The sequence below is a fragment of the Homo sapiens genome, chromosome 16, assembly GCF_000001405.40.
Source record: "Homo sapiens chromosome 16, GRCh38.p14 Primary Assembly".
NCBI lineage: Eukaryota > Metazoa > Chordata > Mammalia > Primates > Hominidae > Homo > Homo sapiens.
Genome location: NC_000016.10, coordinates 85,671,775 through 85,689,014, shown reverse-complemented (window position 1 = coordinate 85,689,014; position 17,240 = coordinate 85,671,775). Strand labels below are relative to the sequence as shown.

General features: G+C 48.0%; 2 protein-coding genes across 30 annotated transcripts in view, besides 2 other annotated features; one reads left to right on the top strand and one right to left on the bottom strand.

The window, feature by feature from the left end:
* Positions 61-12,817, top strand: GINS2 (GINS complex subunit 2). Its single transcript, NM_016095.3, has 5 exons — positions 61-206; positions 1,441-1,555; positions 7,334-7,433; positions 10,349-10,475; positions 10,678-12,817. Exons 1-5 carry the CDS (start codon positions 117-119, stop codon positions 10,801-10,803), a joined length of 558 nt encoding a protein of 185 aa, NP_057179.1. The 5' UTR covers positions 61-116; the 3' UTR covers positions 10,804-12,817.
* Positions 246-375: a silencer, noted in NCBI's record as "silent region_7817". NCBI's record gives its function as "represses an Ori minimal core promoter by ATAC-STARR-seq in GM12878 lymphoblastoid cells {active_cell/tissue: GM12878}" and the evidence as "EXISTENCE:reporter gene assay evidence [ECO:0000049][PMID:35858748]".
* Positions 719-1,252: an enhancer, noted in NCBI's record as "H3K27ac-H3K4me1 hESC enhancer chr16:85721369-85721902 (GRCh37/hg19 assembly coordinates)". NCBI's record gives its function as "activates a minimal SCP1, AML or CMV promoter by ChIP-STARR-seq in naive H9 embryonic stem cells {active_cell/tissue: H9 hESC(naive)}" and the evidence as "EXISTENCE:reporter gene assay evidence [ECO:0000049][PMID:30033119]".
* The window catches only part of GSE1 (Gse1 coiled-coil protein), a 506,689-nt gene continuing 502,263 nt past the window's right edge, over positions 12,815-17,240 (bottom strand). For all 29 annotated transcript variants that reach the window (XM_005255859.6, XM_005255860.4, XM_005255861.6 and 26 more), the window contains one exon: positions 12,815-16,610. In XM_005255859.6, the coding sequence (XP_005255916.3) occupies positions 16,476-16,610 (135 nt within the window). In that variant the 3' untranslated portion in view covers positions 12,815-16,475. The remainder of the gene's footprint in view (positions 16,611-17,240) is intronic.

The following is a 17,240-nucleotide window of genomic DNA, read 5'->3' as shown; positions in this document are numbered from 1 at the left end:
TCTTCCGGCCGGGGCGGGCTCTCGCCGTGGCGGGAAAACGGCGGCCGCGGCGTCTCCTCCGGGACGCTGAGGGGCCCGAGGAGACCGTGAGGCTCTGGCCTGCAGCTCGCGCCGCCATGGACGCTGCCGAGGTCGAATTCCTCGCCGAGAAGGAGCTGGTTACCATTATCCCCAACTTCAGTCTGGACAAGATCTACCTCATCGGGGTGAGGCCTGGGCCCGCCGTGGGGAGGGGAGGCCGGGCTGGGCGCGTCCGGGGCTCCCGCGTGGCCTTCAGCCCCGGGGTCGCGGGCTCGCCCTGCTCCCGCATCTGCGGAGGCCACCACTCGGCGCTTGACTCGCTCACCGCCGTTCCCGCTTCTCGGATGAGGAAAGCGAGACTGCGCTCTTTGCCAGTGCCCCGAACGCCCGGGTTTACAGGGTTTTTTTGATCTGTTTGGGGGCTTTTTTGGTTTGTTTTTTGGTTTTTGAGGTGGAGTGTCACTCTGTCGCCCAGGCTGGAGTGCAGTGGTGCCGTCTCGGCTCACTGCAGCCTCCGCCTCCCGGGTTCAAGCGATTCTCCTGCCTCAGCCTCCTGAGTAGCTGCTGTTACAGGTGCCCGCCACCACGCCCGGCGCATTTTTGTATTTTTGGTAGAGATGTGGTTTCACCGTGTTGGCCAGGCTGGTCTCGAACTCCTGACCTCATGAGCCACTCGCCTCGGCCTCCCAAAGTGCTGGGATGACAGGCGGGAGCCACTGCGCCCGGCTTATTTATTTGGTAGAGATGCGGCTGGCCTCGAACTCCTGGGCTCCCCAGGCGATCCTCCCACGTCGGCCTCCCAAAGGGCTGGGATTATGGGCAAAAGTCGGCTTTGCCTCTGTTTGTTTTTGTCTTTATCTTTGAGATGGAGTTTCGCTCTATCGCCCGGGCGGGAATGCAGTGGCGCGATCTCGGCTCACTGCGGCCTCCGCCTCCCGGGTTCAGGTGATTCTCCTGCCTCAGCCTCCCGAGTAGCTGGATTGTGAGCCCCCGCGCCCGCCCGGCTTTGCGTTTTCAGTATGAGGGAGGCGCCTCGGCGCTGGGAGTCCTGGAGAAGGAGGGCAGGCTCTGTACCTGCCCAGACCCACCTCCCCGCACCCCAGGACCCCAACATTGGGTGTGTGAAACCTGTTCCGGAGTTGGAGGGTGCAGGCGGGAGAGGGAGCGCCCCCCACCCACTCAGGGGAGACTTGCATCCTGTCCGCGGAAAGGCCAGAAGGACTGAGCCCCACGCTCGCAGGTGTCTCGGAGCCGCTCAGGAGGCGCTTTGTTCTGAGTCTGGTAACAGTTGGGTTTTTATTATTTGCATTTGGACTTCAGCCTCTGCAATGCCTTGCCTCTTATTTGATAGCAGTAACGCACAGTAATGCTTTTTTTGTTCTTTTTCAATCTTACGGGGAATTGTTTTACTTTTGGCAGGGGGACCTGGGGCCTTTTAACCCTGGTTTACCCGTGGAAGTGCCCCTGTGGCTGGCGATTAACCTGAAACAAAGACAGAAATGTCGCCTGCTCCCTCCAGAGTGGATGGATGTAGGTAAGGATGTGGTGGAGACTGGTTGATGCGTGGGTGGGGCTGGGCTTGGGGTGACGCCCTCTCCCACGGGGTGGAGGCATGGGGCCTCCTTCCTGACTAGGTCCGTGCTCCCTCTGTTCCGTTATCTACTGATCAGCTGAAAGGAATACTTCCAGATTCACCTCTCAGCAGAGTCTGCTAACCACTGTTAGTAATGTCATGTTAGGTTTTGGTGTGTGTGAAAGTTGTAGTTTGTTTTTTGAGACGGGTCTGACTCCATCACCCAGGCTGGAGAGCAGTGGTGCAATCTCGGCTCAATGCAGCCTTCACCTCCTGGGTTCAAGTGATCCTCCTGCCTCAGCCTCCCAAGTAGCTGGGACCACTGGCGTGCGCCACCACACCCTGCAAATTTTTGCGTTTTTGTAGAGATGGGGTCTTGCCATGCTGCCCAGGCTGGTCTCAAACTCCTGGGGTCAAGCGATCTGGCCACCTTGGCAGATCTGCTGGGATTATAGGCGTGAGCCACTGTGCCCAGCCTATATTTTAATGTAAGATATTTCAATTTGCTTTAAAATAAATATATGACCTTAAATAAGCATTTGTTTTAAAATTTTAAAAATAAGTATAGATTAGCATGTTGAGAAGCAGTTATAGAGAATGCATGAAAATAATATATCACAATAAGGTTGAATATTATTCAGCTATAAAAAGGAATGGAATTCTGATACATGCTACTGCGTGGATGAACCTGAAACATCTTAAAGATCTTGCTGAATGAAAGAAACCAGGCACAAAAGGCCGCACACTGTATCATTCCATTTCTATCAACTGTCTAGAATAGGCAAATCAATAGAGACAATGTAGATTAGTAGTTGCTTAAGTATGGGGGTCTTGCTTTGGGTGATGGAGGGATTGTGGAGTTTCTTTTTGGCATGATGAAAATTGGGATTGATGGAGGTAATGGTTGCCCAAGTCTGAATATACTAAACACCATTGACTTGTACACTTTGTTTTTAATAGCCCACAAGTGCTACTAAAACTTGTATACTTTTTTTTTTTTTTTGAGACAGAGTCTCGCTCTGTCGCCCAGGCTGGAGTGCAGTGGTGCGATCTCGGCTCACTGCAAGCTCCACCTCCTGGGTTCACACCATTCTCCCGCGTCAGCCTCCCAAGTAGCTGGGACTACAGGCGCCCGCTACCACGCTCGGCTAATTTTGTTTTTGTATTTTTAGTAGAGACTGGGTTTCACCGTGTTAGCCAGGTTGGTCTCAATCTCCTGACCTCGTGATCCACCCACCTCAAAACTTGTATACTTTAAATGGCTGAATTGTATGATATATTAATTATGCTTCAATAAAGCTGCTAGAAAAAACTGAAACAAATCAAAGATGCAGACAGGCTTTATTCTGAGCCTTTGAAATCTTTTTCTTCTCTTGGAGATATGAGTAGCTTATTATAGGGAAAAAAAATCTTAATTTTTTTGTGTGTGTTGGTGAGGAGAGGGGTATGGTCATACATATAGAATTTGAAAAGACCCTGAGTGATTTTTTTTTTTTCTTTTTATGGAGATGGGGTCTCAGCCGTGAGTGATTTTGACTGCCCCCTCCTTACTGGGACTTATTGGGGGTACCTACCTCCTAGAAGCAAGAGCTCATTGAGCCAGCCACTCTGGGGTCCGTTTAAGACAGACTGCTTAGTGTCTTCCCCTTGCTCCCTGTCCTAAAGTGGCAAGTGACTCAGGTAGTCCTGAAACATAATGGGAAACCCCAGTTCCTCTGCTTTGAGACGGTTTTTTTTTTTTTTTTTTTTTGAGAAAGGGTCTTGCTCTGTCACCCAGGCTGGGCTATAGTGATGCAATCATAGCTCACTGCAGCCTTGACTTCCCAGCCTCAAGTCATCCTCCTGCTTCAGCTTCCGGAGTAGCTGAGACTACAGGTGTGCACCATCATGCCTGACTAATTTTTTGATTTTTTTTTTTTAGTGGAGATGGGGGTCTTGCTATGTTGCCCAGGCTGGTGTCAAACTTCTGGGCTCCAGTGATCCTCTCAGAGTGCTGGGATTACAGATGTGAGCTGTTGCCCCTGGCCGGAAGGCTTTTGTAGAGGAGAGGCTCACCAGGCCTGGCTCCATTAATGCAGCATCCTCTCCAGGCCCCTTGTTTAAAATCAGTGTCTGGCACTTTTGTCCCATCTAGACCCCAGGTGATAACATGGCAAGGGCCTGTTTTATCGCAGGCTAGAGTCAGAAGGTGTGGAGAGTTCCCCTTGAACTTTTTACCTGGGCTGGAGCCATATTGTGGGAACAGTGAGGCACCATTAACCTGTCTATAGACCCTACCCAACAGCCTGCTGCCTCCTGACTTCTGCACCACAGATAAGTTCTGCCTGTTCTGGGCCAGGCGCGGTGGCTCATGCCTGTAATCCCAGCACTTTGGGAGGCCGAGATGGGTGGATCACCTGAGGTCAGGAGTTCAAGACCAGCCTGGCCAACATGGTGAAACCCTGTCTCTACTAAAAAATACAAAAATTAGCTGGGTGTTTGGTGGGCGCCTGTAATCCCAGCTACTTGGGAGGCTGAGGCAGGGAGAATTGCTTGAATCCAGGAGGTGGAAGTTGCAGTGAGCTGAGATCGCGCCACTGTACTCCAGCCTGGGAGATACAGCGAGACTCCATCTCAGGAAAACAAATCCAGTTCTGCCTGTTCTGGGACTTCATGTAAATGGAATAATCTAGTATGTCATTTTTTGTTTCTGATTTCTCTTATCCAACACTGTTTTTGAGATTTACCTGTTTACGTTCTCAACACCGGGACACAGAGCTCAGCTCCCAACCCCTTTCTCCACTACTGAAACTCATATTCACACCACCTGGCTATGTTCTTTCATTGCTGGGTACTCTCCATACTACATATTTGTTCACCGATTCTTCTGTTGGTAGATATTTGGGATTCCCCTTTTTGGCTTTAACAAAAAATTTAGAGACAGGGATTTCTCTGTTGCCCAGGCTGAATTGCAGTGGTTATTCAAAGGTGTGATCATAGTGAATTGCAGCCTCCAACTCCTGGGCTCGAGTGATCCTCCCATCTCAGCCTCCCTAGTAGCTGGGACTACAGGTGTGCATCAATGTGCCCAGCTCATTTTTGGCTTTTGAGACAGTCTCTCGCTCTGATGTCCAGGCTGGAGTGCAGTGGCGTGATCATGGCTCACTGCAACCTCCACCTCCTGGGCTCAAGCGATCCTCCCACTTCTGCTTCTTGAGTAACTGGGAATACAGGTGTATACCATCACATTCAGCTAATTTTTATAGAGACAGGGTTTCACTTTGTTGCTCAGACTGGTTTTGAACTCCGGGGCTTCCACCTCGGTCTCCCAAAGTGCTGGGATTACAAGTGTGAGCCACTGTGCCTGGCTCATTTTTGGCTATTCTTAATAAGGCTTTTGTGAATATTCTTGTCCACGTCTTTTCATGGATATGTTTCTTTTTCCCTTGGGTAAATAAATACCTAGAATGATGGACTTGCTGGATCTCAGGGATAATGCTTAACTTTGTAAGAAACGGCCACCTGGTCCTTCAAAGCAGCTGAGCCTTTATCCTACAAGAAATATGAGTTCCCATTGTTCCATGTCCTGGCCAAAAATTTTGACTGTAGCTTTTTTATTTGCTAGAAAGTTGGACCAGAGGTGTTTCATAAGCTGATTCAGATGTTAATGAAAGGATCACTCTGCTGTGTAGAGAAGGTTGGTGCAATAGGAGCAGGGAATGAATCCAGGCAAGCACTGAGAGTGGCCTCTGGCTGATGGAGGTGGGAGATGTGGTAGGTGTCTAGGTGTGTTTTGAAGGAAGCAGCAGCAGGATTGGCTGAAGGACTGGCCATGGGGTGTGAGGGAGAAGAGTGAAAGCTGACAGCCAGGCTCTTGGCTGGAGGCCCAGGAGAGGGAGTTGCTGTCTCCTGAGGTGGGAGGCTGCAGGAGCAGGCTGTGGGCTGCAGTGGGTATCAGGAGTTGGGGGTTTGAACTGTTGTGCTTTCTGGATATCCAGGAGGAAGTTACAGCAGCAATGAGGTTATTGAGTTAGGAGTTAGAGCTCAGGGGCTGATGGGGGTATAAATTTGGAGGTCTTTCTGAGCATGTGGGTAGCATTTGGACGAGGTGGTGTGGATATGAGTTTAGGTAGTGAAGAAAGGGGTTGGGAGCTGAGCTCTTTGTCCCAGTGTCGAGAGGTCAGGAGGAATTGCCAGGAGACAAAAAGGGGAGCCTAGTGAGTTCATAAGCAAGCTCAGAGGGGTGTTCACGGAGGGCCTTCTTTTTAAGGCTATATCTATTAGTGTGTTTGGGAGGATCAAGCAAGGAGGGGACAGTGATCATTTAAGAGCATGAGAGCTGCTGGAGTGCCTTACTGTGCAGGTGAGAGGAGGGTCCAGGACACCTGGAAGGCTGGTCCTCGAGTGGGTAGGAGCTACACAGGGAGTTTGGGGGATGGGGTGGTGTGTGGGTCACACTCAGCTGGGTGTCAGGTGAGAGGTGGGTGGTGGGTTGAGGCGGTGCTGGCGGCAGTGAAGAGAGGGTGAGTAGACCAAGGAATTGGGCCAGGATTGCAGGACGGCACCAAGGGCCCTGGGGATGGGTAGTTGGCCGTTTACAATGGGACCCTGCAGCGTAGCTGTGCTCCGTGCTTGTCCCTTAGCTATAGTACACAGTCTGCTCCCAGGACAGGTTTCTCTGTAGAGGGGGAGGGCTGAGGGAGCTGGAGCATGTGTGAGAACAGTGCTGATGCTGGTGGAATTGGATACAGCTGTTTGATTCTAGACGCTGGGCTTTCACCCCTCTAGGATGTCATGCCTCCTCCCGGCTGGGGTGGCTTAGCCCTCTAGGATATTGTATCGTGCCCAGGCTGGGGTGGCTTAACCCCTAGGATATTGTATCGCGCCCAGGCCAGGGTGGCTTAACCCCCCTAGGATATTGTATCACGCCCAGGCTGGGGTGGCTTAGCCCCTAGGATATTGTATCACGCCCAGGCTGGGGTGGCTTAACCCCCCTAGGATATTGTATCGCGCCCAGGCTGGGGTGGCTCTAGTTTTGTAAGTTGTCTTGCTCCCTTCTGAACAAGGCTTAGTATAAATAAATTTAAGTCACTGACTAGTTTGATCACTTATTGCATCAAAGGTCTAATACTGACCAGGTGACTCACTCCTATAATCCCAGCACTTCGAGAAGCTGAGGCAGGGCGATCACTTGAGCACAGGAGTTTGAGACCAGCCTGGGCAACATAGTGAGACCTTGTCTCTACAAAAAATAAATGGTGGCATGTGCCTGTGATCTCAGCTACTCCTTGGGAGGCTGAGGCGGGAGGATTGCTTGAGCCCAGGAGGTTGAAGCTGCAGTGAGCTGTGATGGTGCCACTGCACTCCAGTCTGGGCATGAGAGAGACCCTCTCAAAAAAAAAAAAAAAAAAAAAAAAAAAGGCGGTAAAGGTAAATCACTTTGCTGTTTCCCTAAAAAAGAAAAAAAACAAAAGCAAAACACAACAAACATCAAACTTTTGACTCTAACATTGTTTTTAGGAATATCTTCTGCAGGCTAAAGCAGCGACAAAAATTTACCTTTCTTTTGGAGAGAAAGTTTCAAGGAGGAGGCCTCAAATCATCTAGATAATGATACAAATGTCATCCCAAAATGTTTTTTCATGTATTTGCTAGTTGATAATGTATTTGCCAGATAATATAGGCACTTGGTAAATTTGGAAGGTTTAATAAATATCTTGGTTATAATGATGGTAAAATGTATTAACTTCTAAATTTCAGAAAAGTTGGAGAAGATGAGGGATCATGAACGAAAGGAAGAAACTTTTACCCCAATGCCCAGCCCTTACTACATGGAACTTACGAAGCTCCTGTTAAATCAGTAAGTAGATCTCACCTCTTAGAGGCCACACCCAAGACTGGACTCGCCATGCCCTTCCCCTAACCCTCGTCCTTCCTCTCCGCTTCCCTGCTTATTGCCTCAGTAAGTGGCAACACTGGCCGCCCTGTTTCTCAGGTCAGTGACCATGAGGTCATCTGTGTACACACACCTGCCAGGTGCACTCTGTCTGTCTCTGTGTGTCTTTCTGTCTGTTCTTTGCCTTTCTCTGTCTCTCATTTTTCCTTTTCTCCACTTCCCGGTGAAGCCCTTGGCTCTTTTTGTTCTGCCTCACATCACTCGACATTGGACCCCAGTGTGAGCCACCAGCATCTCACAGAATCGGCAGTAGCCATTCTTTGCCATGTATGTGTTTTATTTAGCACAGCTTTACTCCTGTTTCTCCTTGGAGTAGGTGGATTTGAGTTTTTTTGTGTCTTTCGCAGGAAAGGCCAGAGGGCTTACATTTGCCTCTGTCCTTGGGTTACAGGAAAGCCCACTTCCTGGCAAAATCATGCTGTAGTAACTCCGTAGCTTGTTTGCCTTCATCCATACTGGCTCCGCTCAGCTTTCCATTCATTCTTCACATCTCAGCCAGAGGGGCCTTTGAAAGGCAGAACTGCCATGTGACTCCCTGCTTAAAATCCTGTCTTCCCTCTCGTCTACCTGAGCGTGGTGTTCAAGCAGTGTACAGCCTAGTGCGTGCTCCTCCTCCCTCTTTCACCCTCTCTACAGCTCTTTTCTCTGCTTCTGGAGGGCTCAGGCTCACACTGGCCCCTGTCACTTCTTCAAGCATTCTGACTTTGCATATACTGTTCTCTGCCCTGTAAGTCTGTCCTTTCCCTGCCCCTGCTCACCTCTGCTGGTTAGCATAACATGTCTCTTCTGGGTTCAGCACACATGTACTCTTGGCAGCTCTACACATTGCTATGGCATTTGCCAGTTGTAATTTTCTTGTTTGCCTGGCTGTGCCATCACATGTACCCATTCTAAATGGGCAGGGGCTGGGTCTCGTATGCATATGTCCCCAGTGAGATGCCTGCGGCTCATGTTTGTTGAGTGAAAGTGAAACTAGTGAAGAAGGCAGACAAGGGTGGATAATTTTGCTTGGGAGATACTTAGAATGTCATTTGTACAATTTCAAGCTTCTGAAGCTCCCCGGGTATCCTTTAACTGGGTTCAAGAGCAGAACTAGAATAAAAAATTGTGACACTAGTACTACTGCATGCTGCAGAGCAGCAGGAAGGGCTGGGAGCCCACTGAATGGCGCTGCTGAATTTAAAGGAAAAGTTGGGGACACAACATGGGCTTGTGCTTAGGCTGAGATGAGGCTGCAGTCAGCCCATGAATTTCATAAAAAGCTGAGAAGCAGCAATGCACCAAGCATTCCACTCGGCAGTGGCGTTTGTCCCATAGGCCTGCTTCCTGGTGTGGTGCGGGAGAGATGTGGGCCTGGGAGCCTATAGTGAATCTTCAGTGTGACCAATGCTCTTGACAGTCCATCAGAGCGCAGTAAGGCCAGGTGGTGCCAGAGAGGGCTCACAGAGGTTTGCTGGGAGTGCAGACTTGTAGGAGGTGGACGGTAGGGGAGAGGGCAGTGAGGCAGGAACTGATATGCTCAGGCAGAGTGTGAAGGACCTGGTGTAGCCGGGCAAGCAGAGATATTTGAGGATGTGTAGTACATTCATGGGAGCAGAGGAATGGAGGCATAGGTTCTGCTGCAGTGGCCAGCCCCTGGGAGGGGCATGTGGCCTCAGAGGGACCTGAGAGAGACTGTAGTGGTGGTGGGGATGGTAGCTGGAAGGGAGAGGATCTATAAACAGGCTAGGTAAGAATTTGGCATTAGCTAGGTGAGGGGGCCTATCCATTTTTTGTTTTTGAAGTTCAATATATTATGGATGTAGTTTTTATCAAAAACCTTGTTTTATAATTCATTCGGTTAAGGGACTTAATTTTACGTTTGTTCTATAGTTCAGCTGACGAGGAGTTGGGGTCCTTTGTCCTTTAACCTGCTGTTGAGAGCACAAGATCTAAATGTTTGGGTTTATAAATAAAACTCACTACATAAATTTTGTACCAGTGGTTTGCCACTTACTCATCAGGAATTAATTGTAGCATATGGAGAGAATGTCTAGCGTAACCTGTAATGCCTAGTGACGAACAATATTTGCTTCTGCTTTTATCGTGTAGTTTTTCTTCAAAGGTTAGTTTAAAATACTTCACAACGGGAGCCTCGACTTTGTGAAAGCCTTCCTTCATCCCTTGCTGGCTTTGAGCTTCTAGCCAGAATTTTGCTATGTGTAGGTGTGCTCACTGTATACTAATTTGCAGTTTCTTCTGTGATTTTTGAAACTTGTTTTTGTCTTCTCTGAAGAGCAGGAGAGTCCCTTCCCTTCAGGGCTTTTGTGAGGATAGAAATGCCAGGTAAAGTGCTGAGCCCAGTACCTGGCATGGAGTTGGCGTTTTCCTTCTCTAGGCTGTGAGCCCTGGATTCCTGGTGGGGAATAGGGAGATCTGCTCAACACTCTGTAAATGAGGAGCAATAGAACTCGACCTTTGAGCCAGCCCTCGAAACTGATTCCTTGTAGATGGAGGTTAGGCAGCACGGAATGCTGTTATCCTGAGACAGAGGCTTCTGACTTAGAGCTGATTCTCTACTAATTTTCTTAGGTAAACAGCAGTCCTGTTCAGCAGCCTGCCATGGGATAGTTAATGTGAGCAAAAGAAACTCCATGTGGATCACTGCCGCACCAAGCTTAACTGCTACAAATCTTTACACCCTAAAGTTGAAAATAAAGCAAAACAGACTTTCTGAGTCTGGAATAGCCACGGTATTTTGCCTGAAAAGAGCCACTCTATCCAGCATTGCCTCAGGTTATCAAGTGTTCCCCGACTGACTTTAGCCCTTGCTCCTTTAGTGCTTCAGACAACATCCCGAAGGCAGACGAAATCCGGACCCTGGTCAAGGATATGTGGGACACTCGTATAGCCAAACTCCGAGTGTCTGCTGACAGCTTTGTGAGACAGCAGGAGGCACATGCCAAGGTAGGTGCCGCCTTGCCTGGGTGCTGGTGGCCTTGATGCCGCATAATTTCACATGGCTCCCGTCTGCTGAGGCTATTACAGGCAGGCATTACTAGCTGTGCTTTTCAACAGTTCATTGGTTTCTTATTTTTATTCAGTAGAGTTTACCTTTTTCTCAAAATCAAAAACTCCTTGGCCAACTTGGTCTGTTTTCTTGCTTTAGCTGGATAACTTGACCTTGATGGAGATCAACACCAGCGGGACTTTCCTCACACAAGCGCTCAACCACATGTACAAACTCCGCACGAACCTCCAGCCTCTGGAGAGTACTCAGTCTCAGGACTTCTAGAGAAAGGCCTGGTGCAGGCGGCTTGCTGGGGGATGTGAGCGCTCAGGACGTGATGAGGTACTCGTGGTTCTGGAGCTCTAGAAACACTTCTGATGCATGAAAAATGTGTGATGGTGCAAGGAATGGATTCAGGATGTTGTTGGAGAAACAAGTTTGTGATTAGTCCTTAAAACTTAGCTCCCTGGGACATTCTTCAATTCCACATCTGTTTCTAGAAACCAGCCCTTTTTCCCCCCACTTTTGAGAAATAAAAAAGCCTTAGGTAAATAAGTCATTCTCCCTAGCAGAGCCACTTGGGTCTCCTGCATGGAAGCCATCACACTTGGGCAGGTGTTCAGTGACTGGTAGGTGTAGATACAGCAGGAGTGGCCATGTGGTCCACGGCTTTTTACCCCTTCTTGATCCTGATTTCTTGGGCTGAATTTAGACTCTCTCACAGAGGTGGCTCACAGAGAAGGATGGCAGATGGTGCAGCCAACAATGCTGACCGGTGCTTATCCTCTAAGCCCTGATCCACAATAAAAATGGACCCAACTCAGCTCTGACTCTCTAGGTTTTTGTGCTGCGTAACTACCAAGTAAAAGGACTGAGCCTGTGGCTGAGATGACTCAGTCAACGAAACTGAGGCACACGGCAGTTAAGTGGAAACTGCAGACCAACACCTGGGGTGTCTCCTTCTCTTGGCTACTTCTAGCTCAGGTTTAATGGGTTGCTTATCAAGAGGAGAGTCAGGAAAAAAACGAATCCAATGTATTGAGCATGAGTGACAATGTATTGAGCATGAGTGACAATGCTAGAAGAAAAGTCACTTTCAGTGCTGCTCTTGATGGATTTGGGGAAGGATTCTTTGTTGTAGGTAACAGTGGGCTCAGGGGAAATTATTTTTTTCCTAAGAGAAAATTACTTTATTCGTAGCATTTTGGAAATGTTAGGACCTTTACAGAAATTACATTACCTTGAGAGGTGAAATGATCGTCCAGCATCATGCAATGGATAGAAGGTTCTGTAATCAGCTTTAAAAAAAACTTTAATTTTTGGCCGGGCACATTGGCTTGGCTCATGCATGTAATCCCAGCACTTTGGGAGGCCAAGGCAGGTGGATCACAAGGCCAGGAGATTGAGACTATCCTGGCTAACATGGTGAAACCCCGTCTCTATTAAAAATACAAAAAAAAAAAAATTTGCCAGGTGTGGTGGCACACGCCTATAGTCGCAGCTACTCGGGAGGCTGAGGCAGGAGAATCGCTTGAACCCGAGAGGCGGAGGTTGTAGTGAGCCAAGATTGCACCACTGTACTCCTGCCTGGGCAACGAGAGCAAGACTCTGTCTCAAACAAAAAAAATTTTAACTTTTTTTTTAGACAGGGTCTCGTTCTGTCATCCAGGCTGCAGTAGAGTGGCGTGATTATAGCTCACTGCAGCCTCGAACTCCTGGGTTCACACAGTTCTCCCACCACAGCCTCCCAAAGCACTGGGATTGCAAGCATGAGCCGCCATGCCTGGCCAGCCTATTTTTGGCTGGACACCAGTGGGCCAAAAGCAGTGGGGTGCTGTCTGGGGAGCTCTGAGAATGCGCATGTGTGACAGGCTGAGCCTAAAGACTTATCACCCAGCATCTGCCCTCCAGTGTCTAGCATGCTGCACACTATCACTCCATGTTGCTGCCCACGTGTCCCCGCCAGGCAGGTTTTGGTGGTTATTTGGACACTGAAGGGTCAGACCTGGAAGACTGGGACCAAAAGATGAGGTCTCCATAATTTAAGGTGCTGTTCAGACTTGGTTCAGCTCATAGGACTTGTTCTTTCATCTCAGCCTTCCTTGGAATCCTCCTGCTTTCATCTGGGGATCTTTTAGAATGAAACCACTTGTTATTGTGGAGGGCAAGGGGTCCTAATGCCCTCCTCTTAGAGCCTGAGCCAGTGGAGGCAGCTCCGTCTGCGGAGATGTATAGTTATTGAGCTTTTCTTTGTTTGGCTTTGTTTTATATCATAAAAAAGATTTTCCTCTTAACATAATTTAGGAAGATTTTATTTTTTGGATGTTGTCAGAAATTACAGCAATATATTCATAAATACCTAATTACTACATTCAACAAATAATATTACAATACAATTAATTCAAACAAGTACACTTAGAACAGGTTTAATTTCACAGCATCTAAACTGCCCCCAGAGTGACCGAGGCACCGGTGTTCCTCCCTCCCACCTGCGTATGGGGTTTACTGTTATAGAATTAAGCACAGGGTACATACAAAATAACACCAGTTAGCATGGTCTTCCTCAGGTCAAGGCAGAGTTAAGGAGTTTTTTAGGTTAAGCACTGGATGGAAAAGTTGGGGACAGGCTACTGCAAGTAGTAAGAAAGTCAACAGCTTGGTTACTTGAAAGAATATAGAGATTGCTAAGTGGCTAATATACACTTTAAAGAGGAACAGAATCGGTTTGTGCTGACCATCTCCATCTTGTGGTGGATCCCTGGCATTTTCTACACTTGTGTGAAACATGTGGCTCAGGGAAAGGGGTAGGATCTGGTGTGAAATTCAGCTTAACTTTTGAGATTTGGCAGTATTATGAGCTACTTGAGGAAAATACCATTCTGCTACAAACTGCAGATTCCCTGTGTTAGAATCCTTCACTGCTGAAGGTGTGGGCTCCTTTTGATGCTCTCTGAATACTCTTAAGGGTGCAACCTATCAGAATGTTAGTCCCAATTCAGTGCTTTATTCCTTTAAGATTAGAATGTAGACTAAAATGTGGAAAGTCCCGTCTTGGTCACTTATCTGAGACAACAGATTAGGAACATGATATTTTATCATGTCAGTCTGACTCTGACTATATGAAGCAAAAATAACTTGTTTCAGTGAGGAACCAGATAATTTACTATTGGAAGGTATCCCTCTGCAGAGGGACAGATGGCAGCTCCCTTCCAGGTAATGTAGGAAGATGGTCTAAGGACCGAGCCGAGGGCTTTCAGGTGCATCCTGACACACAGGTGGCATAATCGACTCCAGAGCAGATTTGAGGTACTCAGTGTGAAGTAGCTGAACAAAAAACTTAAGAGATTGCATGTCAATTTTTAAGCCCAATTGAAAACAGATTTAGGTGCTACTGTGTTCTTTGAGAATAATCTGAAAGTAAGTTTTCAAAGTATGAAACTAATAGTTGGATGGGGAAACCATGACTGGGTACTGTGTCTTGGGTGGTGTGCTTTCGTTTTTGAGACAGTTCTTACCTTTTTCTTAGTTTATTCGTGTTGCCTTACTGGTTTGTATTCTGATTGTCGTATTACTTCTTGAGCAAGAGTAGAGTACTCAGATCGCCACAAGTAGGTGGAAGGATGGGGAGACAGTGGGCAAGAAGCTCAAGGGCCGGGCAGAAGTGGGGTTTCCACTGACAGGGGAGAAGCCAACTATTGCTAGCACAGTGACACTGCTCCCACCCTGGGCAGACCTCTCATGGTGTGCCACCTGTCCCCTGTGCTGTCATAGAAAATCCAACCAAGGGAGTGCCCCTTGGATGGTAAGGGATGAGCTACGTTTTTAAGTTATCGGATCTACTTTTCCCTTTTACTTTAGCCAAGGCCATTTCCAAAAGCATCCAGACATCTGTGATGGAGGAGGAGGCCTGAGAGCGGAAGTGCTAAGATGTGACTCTTAAGCCTTCAGACCAGAAACCTCAAGTAGGTTTTCAGTGGAGAAATCCAGTGAGATTTTGCCCTGATAGTTTGTAGCAGACTCCCTCTGAACACCTGTGGAACATGCTGACCTCCCAGTGTCTTTCGAGGGGAGGCCTGCAGCACAGCCCCTCGAGTTCTCTTCCAGCTGCTTCTGTGGAGAGGAAGGTGCTTGTTGACTGCTGATAATACTGGCGGTACATTCGTCTGAGTTTGCTAATAACTGGAAGATTCTTGGCAGACGTACAAAGCAAACTGTGCGGGGGCAGATAAAGCGACACGATGCCAGCTGCCAGCAAGCTGTTCTGCGCAGCAAGGGCTAGGGCCAAGGGCTCGGCTGCTGGTCACAGCAGTGAGCAGCCGGCACACAGGTCAGGCACCCTGCCCTCAGCTCAGGCCTCCACCCCCCAGACCAGTGACTGGCAGCCCTGGCCTCTGGTGAGGGCCCTTGGGAGCAAGAGAGGCCTTCTTGATCTAAACACTGCCTCCATAGGCAGTAACTAGGACAAGGAGGAAGACTCGCCCGTTGCTTTGCCTTGGTGTGATGAGCCCAGTTTCTGACCGTTCCTGTGCTTGTCACAGTAAGTTCAAAAAGGAGGGGTTCAGCTCAGACCTTGTGGCTTTTACAAAGCTTTGCGTTTAAACAAAGCCTCTGAAGTTCCTATTCTGTACCTGCTCTCAGACACCTTAGAATTATATCAATCACAGAAATCATTGACTTCCTGAAAGGTTTTTAAAAGCCCCCGCCCATGTGTGCACATGACTGTCACACATGGGTTCTACAGACTACCCCCTCCTCCCTTGATAGCAATGGGTAATATTTGCTATTAGCTTGTCCAGATGCTGGGGGCAGGCAGGGGGAGTGGAGGAGGTAAGCAGTAGCGCATGGCTTTCTACGGCAGCTTCTGGTGCAACTCAAACTAAAAATGAAGTGATCGCATAGGCGCCAGTGGTAAGCTCTTTTACTTTTCTTCTTCTTTAATTTTTAAAAACACTTCAATATTTTAATGTCCTGACCAGCAGCAGTACAAACACTAAAAGCAAGGTTTTTTTTTTTTTTTTGCCCAAAAAAAACCAAAACAACAAACAAAACCCCCAAACAGGAAAAACAAACAAAAATCCCCCAAACCACATATTAAAAATGGCAGGCTTTTTATAACAATAGTTAAAGTAATAAAAACATACAAAACTTTGTTTTTTTTTTAATATATATACACAGTACAAGGCTGAAGCACCTTTGACTTTTCTCTCAAAATTTACGTCTGTATGAAAACCCAACCCACTGTAGTAACAATCTGGTGGGTGTGAAGCTGTGTATACACAGAGCTCTGTACATGCTCCCCACGGAGTAATAAAAAGCTACCTTCAGTTTGTGAATTGGTTTTATCTTTAGGTAAGAAAGAGCTTTTCCAGGGAAAAGCCTTTGGGTTGCTTTGTGTGCTCCTAGGACTTGTTGCTTTGAAGAAAATTTTGCAGGAAAGTAAAATGAAACAAATAAGCCCTTTTTACTGACAATGCACCCAACCTTTTCAGCTGAAGCAAGTTTCACTCCTGGGGAGGAATGAGACTGGCCCCATCGCTGCGGCAAAAGCAAACTGGGCTTGAGGCATAGTAACATGGCAACACAAGAAAGAACAGAACCGGTTTGATCCACTCATATGCACAGGGGGCTGTTAATGATCAAGTTTTAGTGTTGCTAATGGAGCCTTCATGTTCAGATTAAGAAATAATGTGGGAGAGGAAGGGCGAAAACCACCTTTAAAAAGAAAAACTGTGGGCAATCCTACATTGGTTGCTCGCTGAATGACAACGGTGATTCAATTGCATTGACGTCAAGGTGAGTTCATTCATTTTTTCTGGAGCCTGGAATCCTTTGCTTCATGCATGGCACATTCTCATTTTGTAAGCTTCAAACCTCCCAGTGAAAAATATTAAATATTCAAGGTAATAAAATAGATAATATTTCTATACTATAGGTTCGGCCTAGTGCAAGGGAAACCGTCACCTGGGATATCCCTTCAGGTAGCCCCTAGGCCAGTGCATTGCAGGCAAGGCAAGGCACTTTCGTAAGTGGTCCAGTTCTGCCTGGAGCCGCTCCCTTTCTGAGACCATCTTCTGTTTCTGGCTCCTCAACTCCTGGAGAGAGGGAAATTTGTGTCAAAACCAACCCGTTTCCTCTGTAAGGACAAGCATGTAGAGTACAAACATGCTGGATGGAAGGGTAAACCTACATTTGAAAATGTCCCGGCCGGGCGTGGTGGCTCACGCCTGTAATCCCAGCACTTTTGGAGGTCGAGGCGGGCAGATCACCTGTCGTCAGGAGTTCGAGACCAGCCTGGCCAACATGGGGAAACCCCATCTACTAAACAAAAAAATTAGCCAGGCATGGTGTCGTATACCTGTAATCCTAGCTACTCGGGAGGCTGAGGCAGGAGAATCGCTTGAACCCAGGAGGCGGAGGTTGCAGTGAGCCGAGACTGCGCCACTGCATTCCAGCTTGGGTGACAGAGTGAGACTTCGCCTCAAAAAGAGAAACAAAGTCCACTTCTCAGCCTGTGTTCTGTCCCTGGCTCTTCCAGAGTCTTAAGAATCGGCATCTGCTGCTGTCTTGGCTCAAACTCGGAGTTCTTGGAACCCCCAGATGTAAAAACTTTGGGAGTGATCTGAGACCTGCTTCCCATCCCTGCCCCCCAAGGACATCTGCTGAACCAATCCTGCTAGTGTGGCTGTGAGCCACGTGAGATGGTTTCAGTTGCTTCAGCTTCC

Excerpts from the sequence above, each read along its gene's own strand:
- GINS2 (NM_016095.3), top strand. The coding sequence starts at position 117 with ATGGACGCTGCCGAGGTCGAATTCCTCGCCGAGAAGGAGCTGGTTACC. Across the intron at positions 207-1,440 it reads ACAAGATCTACCTCATCGGG|GGGGACCTGGGGCCTTTTAA; the intron begins GTGAGGCCTGGG and ends TACTTTTGGCAG. Across the intron at positions 10,476-10,677 it reads AGCAGGAGGCACATGCCAAG|CTGGATAACTTGACCTTGAT; the intron begins GTAGGTGCCGCC and ends TTCTTGCTTTAG.